General features: G+C 47.2%; 1 protein-coding gene across 1 annotated transcript in view; it reads left to right on the forward strand.

The window, feature by feature from the left end:
- The window catches only part of ITIH2 (inter-alpha-trypsin inhibitor heavy chain 2), a 46205-nt gene that overhangs the window by 10946 nt on the left and 23919 nt on the right, over window positions 1–11340 (forward strand). The window contains exons 6-9 of the mRNA NM_002216.3: window positions 3365–3527; window positions 6595–6702; window positions 7388–7516; window positions 9190–9306. Of these exons, the coding sequence (NP_002207.2) occupies window positions 3365–3527; window positions 6595–6702; window positions 7388–7516; window positions 9190–9306 (517 nt within the window). The remainder of the gene's footprint in view (window positions 1–3364; window positions 3528–6594; window positions 6703–7387; window positions 7517–9189; window positions 9307–11340) is intronic.

Genomic DNA, 11340 nt, shown 5'->3' on the forward strand with positions numbered 1-11340 from the left:
CCCGGGTTCACGCCATTCTCCTGCCTCAGCCTCCAGAGTAGCTGGGACTACAGGCACCCATCACCATGCCCGGCTAATTTTTTGTATTTTTCAGTAGAGACGGGGTTTCACCGTGTTGGCCAGGATGGTCTCGATCTCCTGACCTCGTGATCCGCCCGCCTCGGCCTCCCAAACTGCTGGGATTACAGGCGTGAGCCACTGTGCCTGGCCCACGCTCACTATTAGGCCAAATGCTGCCGTGTTTCTTTCCTCCTCTCCTCTTCTCTTACATCCCCAAACTCACCTGTAGTTGAAGTTCTTTTCCTTTCATTCATGCATTTGTTCATTCAACAAAAATGCATCAAATGCAAGCTCTGTACCAGTTCTGTCAGAGACAGCAGCAACACAAAAGCGGACACCGTCAGCCTCATGCAGGAGACAGACAAGGAACCTGTGACAACAATATCTGCAGTGGGCAAGGGCTAATACGGAAGAGAGGGTACACAAAAAACACTATGGGAGTTCCGAGTGCCGAGTGTGTCATCCTGTCTGGGGGTCCAGGAAATCCCCACAGAGGACTGATGTGTCAGCTGAGCCCAAGTAGATTACAGCTGGCCTTCGTATTCATGGGTTTCACATTCTCAGATTCAACCAACTGTGGATGAAACCTGTGGATACGGAGGGTCCACTGCACCATACTGTTTTATAACAGTGACTTGGGCATCGCCGGATTTTGGTATACTTGGGGAATCCTGGAACCAAACCCCAGAGGATACAGAGCACCAACTGTAGTAAAATTCAGCCAGGTAGAGAATGGAGAGAAGAAGCTCCAAGCAGAGGAAATGCCTCTAGCCTTGCTGCAGGTGAATCAGTCCTTTTATCTTTAAGAATCATTTTGCCAGCCAGGCGTGGTGGCTCACGCCTGTAATCCCAGCACTTTAGGAGGTCGAGGCAGGCAGATCATGAGGTCAGGAGACCGAGACCATCCTGGCCAACATGGTGAAACCCCGTCTCTACTAAAATTACGTAAATTAGCTGGGCGTGGTGGCGTGTGCCTGTAATCCCAGCTACTCAGGAGGCTGAGGCAGGGGAATTGCTTGAACCAGGGAGTTGGAGGTTGCAGTGAGTCGACATTGTGCCACTGCATTCCAGCCTGGTGACAGAGCAAGATTCCTTCTCAAAAAAAAAAAAATCATTTTGCCATCTTTGTCCATCATTTTGACCACATCACCCATTCATTTATTTGTTTATCCATCACACAAATACTTACTTCTACCAGAAACTCTTCTAGGCACTGGAGATACGGCAGGGAACGCAGAGCTCCCATCCTAGTGCACCCTCAGGTAAACACGGTGTCTCACTGCAGGCTCTGTCTCAAAGCTTTGCACGAGGCCATGCTCATCTTTTTCTTCAATTATTTGATATCGCAAGCTGACTATCCACAACAACTCCCCAATCCCTTAGGCTGATTGTGCAACATCTCACCTTGCTTACTTATTTATTTCTTTTCTTTTGAAATGAAATTTCACTCTATCACCCTGGATAGAGTGAAGTGCAGTGGCGTGATCTCGCTCACTGCAACATCCACCTCCCAGGTCTAAGCAATTTTCCTGCCTCAGCCTCCCAAGCAGCTGGGATTATAGGCACCCACCACCACACCTGGCTAATTTTTGTATTTTTAGGAGAGACAGGGCTCACTACAACCTCCACCTCCCAGGTCTAAGCAATTTTCCTGCCTCAGCCTCCGGAGCAGCTGGGATTATAGGCACCCACCACCACGCCCGGCTAATTTTTGTATTTTTAGGAGAGACAGGGCTCACTGCAACCTCCACCTCCCAGGTCTAAGCAATTCTCCCCTCTCAGCCTCCTGAGTAGCTAGGATTACAGGCACTCACCACCACACCCGGCTAATTTTTGCGTTTTTAGTAGAGACAGGATTTCACCATGTTGGCCAGGCTGTTAACTCCTGACCTCAAGTGACCCACCCACCTCAGCCTCCCAAAGTGCTAGGATTACAGGCATGAGCCTCTGTGCCCAGTGTATTTACTTATTTCATTTAAAAAATCATTCCCTGTTTATCCTAACGCTGGAATCACCAGCACTGATAATTCTGCTGTTTTCTCTTTAAACCATAAACACCTCAAGATCAATGATCACATTGAACTCAGTATGTATGTGACTAAAATAAGGCCTTATGATAGAAAAACATACTCAGGCCAGGTGCAGTGGCTCAGACTATAATCCCAGCACTTTCAGAAGTGGAGGCGGGTGGATCATCTGAGGTCAGGAGTTTGAGATCAGCCTGGTCAACATGGCGAAACCCTGACTCTACTAAAAATACAAAAATTAGCTGGGCATGGTGGCGCATGCCTGTAGTCCCAGCTACTCGGGATGCTGAGGTAGGAGAATAGCTTGAGCCCTGGAGGCGGAGGTTGCAGTGAGCTGAGATCACACCACTGCACTACAGCCTGGGCAGCAGAGCGAGACCCCAGCTCAAAAAAAAAAAAAAAAAAAAGAGAAACATACTCAATTTGAGCAATAATAAAGTTTTTCTTTCTGAAGACCTTCAGAAATATCAAGAACTCCTATAGTGAGCCTCAAATGCAGTATGGGAAGAGTGTTATCTTTGAACCACCCAACCTTGGGTGTGAGTTCTGATCCCACAGTGGACTGGCCATGGGGTCTTGAGCAGGTCCTCTACAAGCCTATTTTTTTTTTTTTTTTGAGACAGAGTTTCATTCTTGTTACCCAGACTGGAGTGCAATGGCGTGATCTCGGCTCAACGCAACCTCTGCCTCCTGGGTCCTGGTTCAAGCATTTCTCCTGCCTCAGCCTCCTGAGTAGCTGGGATTACAGGAACACACCACCATGCCCAGCTAATTTTTGTATTTTTAGTAGAGACGGGGTTTCACCATGTTGGCCAGGCTGGTCTCGAACTCCTGACCTCGTGATCCGCCTGCCTCGGCCTCCCAAAGTGCTGGGATTACAGGCATGAACCACCACACCCAGCCCAAGCCTAATTTTTTTATCATCTGAAAAGTCAGGGTAATGATCTCCATATTGCAGAGCAGCTATATCAGCAATGATAGATGTCAAATTCCTGGCCCAGGATAGGGGCCAATCCCTGGTAGTTTTTTGCAGACAACACTCAAGTCAGTAAGAAGCTCTGGGAGCTGGAGATCGGGTAGGAGAGGAGACTGAAGCTCTTGTTGGGATTCAACTGATCTAGAAGCTGCACTTATCTCTAGTGTACCTACTGTTCACTTTCATGAACTACTGAGCAGAACGGACGGTCCAGGAAATTCTACATGCCCTCTGCCTAGATTCTGGGTCTTGCTGCTCAATCATGTATCTGTTGACTTTTGTTGGGGGCTTTCACCTTTAGGAGCAGCGCTCTTGATATGGAAAACTTCAGAACGGAAGTAAATGTCCTCCCAGGAGCAAAGGTGCAGTTCGAACTTCACTACCAGGAGGTGAAGTGGAGGAAGCTGGGCTCCTATGAGCACAGGATCTATCTGCAACCTGGACGGCTGGCCAAACACTTAGAGGTAAGCCTGGATCTGTAGGGTGGGCAGTGACACTGTCCTTTTATAGTCTCTGACCCTGATTTATACTTTCTGCTTGTCACTAGCACTTGTGGTGTTGGATGCCACTCAACTCTACAAGACAGTGGGATGTATTGAAAAGATGGTGGGTTTGGAGTCAGCCACACCACTTCCTTATGGCTCTCGGTCTCCTTAGCAGCCGTATTATGGTGGTTTCTGAGGTCTGCTATAACAAGTTACAGCAAACGCCACAGCTTAACACAACAGAAATTGATTCTCTCATGGAAGTCTGAAGTCAAGGTGTCTGCAGAGCTGCACTCTCTCTCTCTGGAGGCTCCAGGGGAGAGCCCGTTCCTTGCTTCTCCTGCTGTCTGGCAGCTGCCAGCCTTCCTTGACTTGTGGCCTTGTAGTCAGATCACTCCAATCTCTTCTTCCACGGTCGCATCCTCTCCTCCTCCGAGCATCTTAAATGCCCCTCTGCCTTTCTCTCACAAGAACACCTATTAGATTTGGGGTCCACCAGGTAGTACAGGATGATCTCAACTCAAGATCCTTAATTGCATCTGCAAGGACTCTTTTTCCAGATAAATCTACATTCACAGGTTCCAGAGGTTGGGCGCATCTTTAGGGGGGGAGGCCACCATTCAACCCAAGACACTAATCTTCAAGGACCAGCTATCCTGAGTCTTCGCTGTCTCATCTATGAAAAGAGTACTGTAACAGACTTTTGTTTCTCAGTTATTTTTTTTTTAACTTTTAAGTTCAGGGGCATATGTGCAGGTTTGTTACACAGGTAAATTCCATGTCACAGGGGTTGGGTGTACAGATGATTTCACCACCCAGGTAATGAGCATAGTACCTGATAGGTAGTTTTCCGATCCTTTCTCTCCTCCCTCCCTCACCCTCGAGTAGGCCCTGGTGTCAACTGTTCCTTTCTTTGTGTCCATGTGTACTCAATGTTTAGCTCCTGCTTAGAAGTGAGAATGTGCAGTACTTGGTTTCCTGTTCCTGTAATATGTGGCCAATGACAGGAGCTTGATGAAGGTTAAGTGGATTGTCTTCCCTGCCACCCCAGCCATCATCACCGCAGGGGAGCAGTGCCTCGGTCATCCACTGCATTACTATCCATCTGAACTCACCTCTGCTGTCATCTTCATCTCTTGCTATAAAGACTAAACTGCTCTTTTCTTTGCTCAAATCTTTGTGACATCCTATGACTGTTTAGTGTAAGAGGCAGAGCTAGGCAAGAGGAAACCTAAGAGAGTACAGAGGCCAACATGCCCCTCCCCCGGCAGATGGGAGAGTAAAGCAGACAGGTTGTGAATTGCCCGGAGACACGGGAGATGAAAGGGAATGAATTAATCACGATGAAACTTTAATTCCCATTTGAAAAGCTGCTCGTGGGATCAATAATGCCCACTGTTTGGCATCAGTTCACTATCAGAGTCTATGCTGTTGAGTTCTTTTCTGGGCCACTCCTAGCACATACCGTGCTTTTGCGTGAATTGAAAAAAGATGCCCGTCCTTCAGGCAAATGCAGCGCCATCCAGGGCACGTGACTTGGCCAAGATGCTCTGTACAATTAAGTGTGTTGTTGGACATTTTTCCACTACTGATGATGGATGAGTGTCAGTAACCCACATTCTCTTCCTCAATGCCATGAATCCCGTGGTAAATAATTTGAAGCAATGGTTAGATGTGATTAGCATCTAAGCCTAGGAGGAGACAATCACTGAGACTGTTGATAATAACAATATTAATAAAAACTGAGTGACAGCCTGGGCAGCACAGCGATACCTCACCTCTACTGAAAATAAATAAATAAATTAGCCAGGCATGGTGGTGCTCCCCTGTAGTCCCACCCACTTGGGAGGCTGAGGCAGGAGGATAACTTGAGCCTAAAAAATCGAGGCTGCAGTTAGCTATGATCATGCCACTGCACTCCAGGCTGGATGGCAAAATGAGACCCTGTCTCAAAAAAAAAAAAAAAAAAAAAAAGAAAGAAAGAAAAGAAAAAATAGCAGCTAAGTAACTCAGAAACAGAAAATCAAATACCACAGGTTCTCACTTATAAGAGAGAGCTGAATAATGTGTACACGGGGACATAGGGTGGGGAATGATAGACATTGGAGACTCGAAAGTGTGGGAGGGTGGGAGTGGGGAGACTTGGGAGAAGTGTGGGAGGGTGGGAGTGGGGAGACTTGGGAGAAGTGTGGGAGGGTGGGAGTGGGGAGACTTGGGAGAAGTGTGGGAGGGTGGGAGTGGGGAGACTTGGGAGAAGTGTGGGAGGGTGGGAGTGGGGAGACTTGGGAGAAGTGTGGGAGGGTGGGAGTGGGGAGACTTGGGAGAAGTGTGGGAGGGTGGGAGTGGGGTGAGGGATGAGAAATTACTCAACGGGTACAAGGTACATTACTTGGGTGGTAGTTGCACTAAAAGCCTGGGCTTCATCCCTGTGCAATATATTCATGTAACCAAACTGCATTTGTACTCCTTAAATTTATACAGATTTTTCAAAATAATTACACAAAAATATAAACAAACAAATCATAGAATTAAATTTAAAAAAGAAAAAAATGGCAGCTATGACTGTGGTTTGGTCAAGAATCACCAAAGGGGATTTCCCTAGATGAGGTCTGTTCAAAGCAAGAAGACAGAGAAGAAATAAAACAACCCAAGATTTGGGGAAAATGGTCTACTTTTGACAGGTCTACAGAGTAGATGCAGTGCTATTTAACAATGAGGGAAAAAGAAGAAGGAATTCTTTTTTTCCCTAACAATGCAAATGCTCTTATAAATAAAAAGACTCGAATAGAATGAGGAAGGGAGTCGACTCCTGGGGGAGTGAGGCAGCAGAAGGAGAGCTCTGAGTCGACAGAAGGGGGTTAAGCCTCCGTGGTGAGATGAATCCCATCGCAGGAACTTGCAGATCCTGCAGGAGAGATCGTGGAGTCGTGCCCGGGAAACCTGCGGAGGAGAAAAGCATCAGAGGACTTATTTGTAATTTTACTTCTTGCTTAAAAAGACTTTAAAGACTTTTAATGCTTTGGGTAATTTTCTCTTGCATCTCTAGGTAGATGTGTGGGTTATCGAACCACAGGGACTGAGATTTCTTCATGTTCCCGACACATTTGAAGGCCATTTCGATGGTGTTCCGGTCATTTCTAAAGGACAACAGAAGGTACCCTGAGCCCTGTGTGTTGCCAGGCATTCACAGGGCCTCTGGATTGTGGGTTCTGTTCTCCTTCTGTGCTCTGGAGAAGAGAAAAGCAGGCTGGTGTTGAGGACACTGTTGAAGAAATGGGGATCCCCAAGTAGAGCCTAGGGCCTCCCCAGGATACACAGAACAACACTCCCAGTGCTTTCCTTCCATTTTGACCAGAGATTGTCCCTTTTTGAGTCTCATTTCCCCGTCAGTCACCTGCTTAACCAGTAGCTAAAGGACAGCTTTCACATCCTATATGGCAGATTTTCATTCATTAACCATAGCAAGACATGTTCAGCTCTCTGCCTCAATGACCAGCGATAACCAACTATGACTCCTGTAAGGAGAAACTCCTCTAAGAGCATTAAAACATTTCACAAACTCTTTCCAAAGCACATAGTCAGCCCTTCTACAGGGGATGAAGGAAATTCTTCGGCTTTCTTCTAAAAAGGTCTGAAACCTTGCAAACAGCATGGCAGGCTAGAGATGCTCCCTGCAAAAGCCCTGGCATGTCCTTCCCATCAGTAATGGGTCCACCGATATCGCGGGGATTCAGAACGTCCATTGGGCAGCTCCTCTTCCCTGTGTGCTGGAGAAGGGGCAGCGCCAAGCACTGGGAAGGGGCTAGAGGCAGAGGCTCTGATGTCACCGTTCTTTCTAGGCGCACGTCTCCTTCAAGCCCACGGTAGCACAGCAGAGAATATGCCCTAACTGCCGGGAGACTGCGGTAGATGGGGAACTGGTGGTGCTGTATGACGTGAAAAGAGAAGAGAAGGCTGGTGAACTGGAGGTGAGTGCACACCGGCTCTGGTTCTACTGCCAAGCTCGTGCCAAAGAGCTGCTCCTTTTTGAACAAACTCCCAGGCCTATGGGTGGTTTCTAGCTGCCAGGGCAAGTGTTTCTAGCTGCAGAGAAGGGACTAAAATCATATTCTTTGAATATACCGCTAAGCATTATCTTTTATGTATTAAAAACTAAATGAATAGGGTCTCATGCTCTTGTCCCAGGAGGGCATTCCTGGGCCTCATGTGAAGAACAAAGGAATAATTACAGAACAGGAATTTTAAATAGGCTCCCAAGGCCCTTTGCAATTAGACAATCAAAGAAAGCACAGAGATTACGGGGTGAGGAGGAAGGCGCATCCACAGCCTAGAAAGATCAAGAGCCAGCGGTGAATTTCAAGGCCAAGGTTTATCATGAAGTTTCTTGAAAAGTTTCCTTTCCCCTTCAGTCATGTCCCAGACGTGTGTCTTCCTTTCTTTGTACTAAGGTGAGGACTCTTAGAACGTACGCAAACTCCAAGAGTCTCTCTAGGGACAGCAAGCGGAGCACACACCCTGTACCTGGATGCTGTAGTTTCCTGGAAAGAGGCAGCCAAAGGGCAGAGGAAAGAGAATTAGGTGAGCCAGTCATCAAGCCTGCAGCAGAAGACAAAGAGGATGGTCAGGAGTCCAGCTGGGGCAGCCTCTCATTAACTTCAAGAAAAATCCAAATTTTCTAAAGTGGCCCATACACGTCCTTCGTGATCTGTCTTGCTGATTCTCCAACTAGTTCCCTGAATTCTTGGATTCTACGGCCCCATCTTGCTGAACCACATATGGAGCCCCAAATATGCCATGTTTTCTCATCTCTGGGGCTGCGCTGTCTGGAACTCTCTTCCCCATTCCCCACTATCTCAACCTGGCCCAGCTCTCAAGAGAGCTTCTGAGTCTGAGCTCATCCTTAGGTCCCAGTGGAGATGCTGCTTCCTAGAGAACCGTCCCCTGGGTGCGCGTTAGATGCACACGGGGCTCTTGCCGAGCCCTTTACTTCCTAATCATGGTGTTGAACACACCGCGCTGCACATTGCCTCCACTTACCCTTATCCTCTGCTGGCTGGGAGCCTCCTGACGGGAGGTGCTCTGCCTGATTCACCGCTGGTTAGCAGGGCGCCTGGAACAGGGGCTCTCTGTAAAGACTGAGTGATGTGGAGTGGAGTGGAGTGGAGTGAAGTGGCGTGGAGTGGAGTGGCGTGAAGTCGGGTGGAGTGGAGTGGCGTGCAGTGGAGTGGGGTGAAGTGAAGTGGCATGGAGTGGAGTGGAGCAGCGTGGCGTGGAGTGGAGTAGAGTGGAGTGGCGTGGTGTGGTGTGGAGCGGAGTGCCCTGGCATGGCGTGGAGTGGCGTGGCGTGGAGTGGTGTGACGTGGAGTGGAGTGGCATGGTGTGGAGAGGAGTCAAGTGGAGTGGAGCGGTGTGGAGTGAAGCAGCGTGGAGTGGAGTGGAGCGGAATGTTCTGCTAGGAAGGTCTTGACCCTCAGAGGAGAGGAGGTGGGGGAGCAGGCAGGAAAATGTGGAGGCAAATGCACATCAAGCTCCGCCTCCTCCTCCCTGTAGACCCCTCTCTTCTCTGAGTCCCCAGGTCCCCATCTTCCTACCTTCTAAACACGAATCATGATTTGACTCACAAATACCTTCTATTTTTCAGGTGTTTAATGGATATTTTGTCCACTTCTTTGCTCCTGACAACCTGGACCCAATTCCCAAAAACATCCTCTTTGTCATCGATGTGAGTGGCTCCATGTGGGGAGTTAAAATGAAACAAGTAAGTACCCCCTTGTTTGCAGTGGTTGGGGGGATTCCCTATCTTCTTTGATCCCCTCCTAAAAATGCAATCATTCTATCCCTCCTCCCTGCTTAGGGCTGAAGCTCAGGGACTGTGGTTACAGACTGCCGGTGTCAACTCTTCCTAAAATTTTGCTATTATTGCATTTCACAGGACATACACCTCCGTCTTCTAATCATTCCTCTAGTGTAAAATTCCCTTCCTTCTCTTCTTCCTCTTTCCTGTTTCCTCTTCCTTCTCTTTCTCTTTTCCACTCTCTATCCAATATTTCCTTGAAAAACTGTCTCAAAACTCACCTCTTTGAAAAACAGAATCTCTATATAACCTCTTCTTTCAAGGATCAGTCACATTCTTTTTGCTCTTCCACATGTTTTATTATAATATCTTGTCATTGTCCACATATGACTATTGATTCAATATATACATATTATTTCTAATTATATGGTAATTGCTTGAGAGCAGCTATCCATCTTATGTTTTCCAGCTCAGAGCTCAATATAGGCTTACTTAGTGATAAGTGAGATGTACAGATGCAATACTAAAGACCAAACAAGGAAATGATTTAACTTACCCATCAATCCATCCATCCATTCAACCAAGTTGAACAACCAACTAACCAGTCATAGGGCAACTATTTTTGACCACCCAAGAGTTCACTACTACCCTAAGATCTGTAAGGAACCTAAAAGAAGTCCCTGTCAGCCAGGCACAGTGGCTCACGCCTGTAATCCCAGTACTTTGGGAGGCCAAGGCAGGTGGATCACCTGAGGTTGGGAGTTTGAGACCAGCCTGACCAACATGGAGAAACCCTGTCTCTACTAAAAATACAAAATTAGCCAGGCGTGGTGGTGCATGCCTGTAATCCCAGCTACTCGGGAGGCTGAGGCAGGAGAATTGCTTGAACCCAGGAAGCGGGAGTTGCAGCGAGCAGAGATCGCGCCATTGCACTCCAGCCTGGGCAACAAGAGCGAAACTCCATCTCAAAAAAAAAAAAAAAAAGAAGAGGAAGAAGACGAAGACGAAGAAGAGGAAAAAGAAGACCCTGTCTTTCACAGACCCTGCCTGCCTGGGTCTGTACTCCCAGGCAGGGTTTCTCAGCAGTGGGACTATTGATATTTTGGATGGGGTCATTCCTTGTTGTAGGAGGGCTGTCTGGTGCATTGCAGGATACTTAGCAGCATGGTCTATGGTCTATTTGCTAAATTTTGGTAGCACAACCTCCCCTGCATCATAACAATCAAATATAACGTCAGACATTGCCAAATGTCCGCTGGGGGGAATAATTGCCTCTGGTTGAGAAACATTGCTCTAATACAACAGTTTATTCACTGCTTCCTTCCTTCCATCACTCATTCATTTAACAAATATTTACGAAGCACCTACTATGTGTCATACACTTAGTTCATCTATGAGCAAAACAGACCCAAAGCATAAAAACAGAAACCAAACAAAAAACAGAAAAAAAACGGATGCCTACCCTCTGTGTGCTTATGAAACTTACATCTGAGGGATAGGGGACAGAGAATAAACAATACACATGCAAGTACAAATGTACAAGTACGTTCAATGGCAGCATTTTGATAAAAGTTTTTTTAAAAAATAAAAGAAGCATATGTTAAAAACCAAGAGTGGCAATTGCAGGGGTATGCAATTTTAAATAGGCTTGTCATCTAAATAGGTGGTTTCCTGGAGAAGACCTCTGAGGAGACCCTGAGAAGGTGAAGGGAGAGTTGTGCAGATATCTAAGGGAATTAAATGCAATGAACAGCTCATGCAACAGTTCTAAGTCGAAAGTGTGCAAAGAACAGAGAGAGATGCCAGTAGAGAGGGGCAGTGGGAGATGAGATCTGAGAAGTGAGAGGCAAGGTGGCTCATGGAACACCTGTGCAGTCATGATCAGAGCTGGATTCTGGAATCTGTTTTGAAGGTAGAGTAAACAGTATATCCTGAAGGGCTAGCTGTGAGGCAAGGGAAGAAAAGAGAAGTGAAAGATGCCCCAGGACTTAGCCTGAG

Source organism: Homo sapiens, chromosome 10 (genome assembly GCF_000001405.40).
Source record: "Homo sapiens chromosome 10, GRCh38.p14 Primary Assembly".
Taxonomy (NCBI): Eukaryota; Metazoa; Chordata; class Mammalia; order Primates; family Hominidae; genus Homo; species Homo sapiens.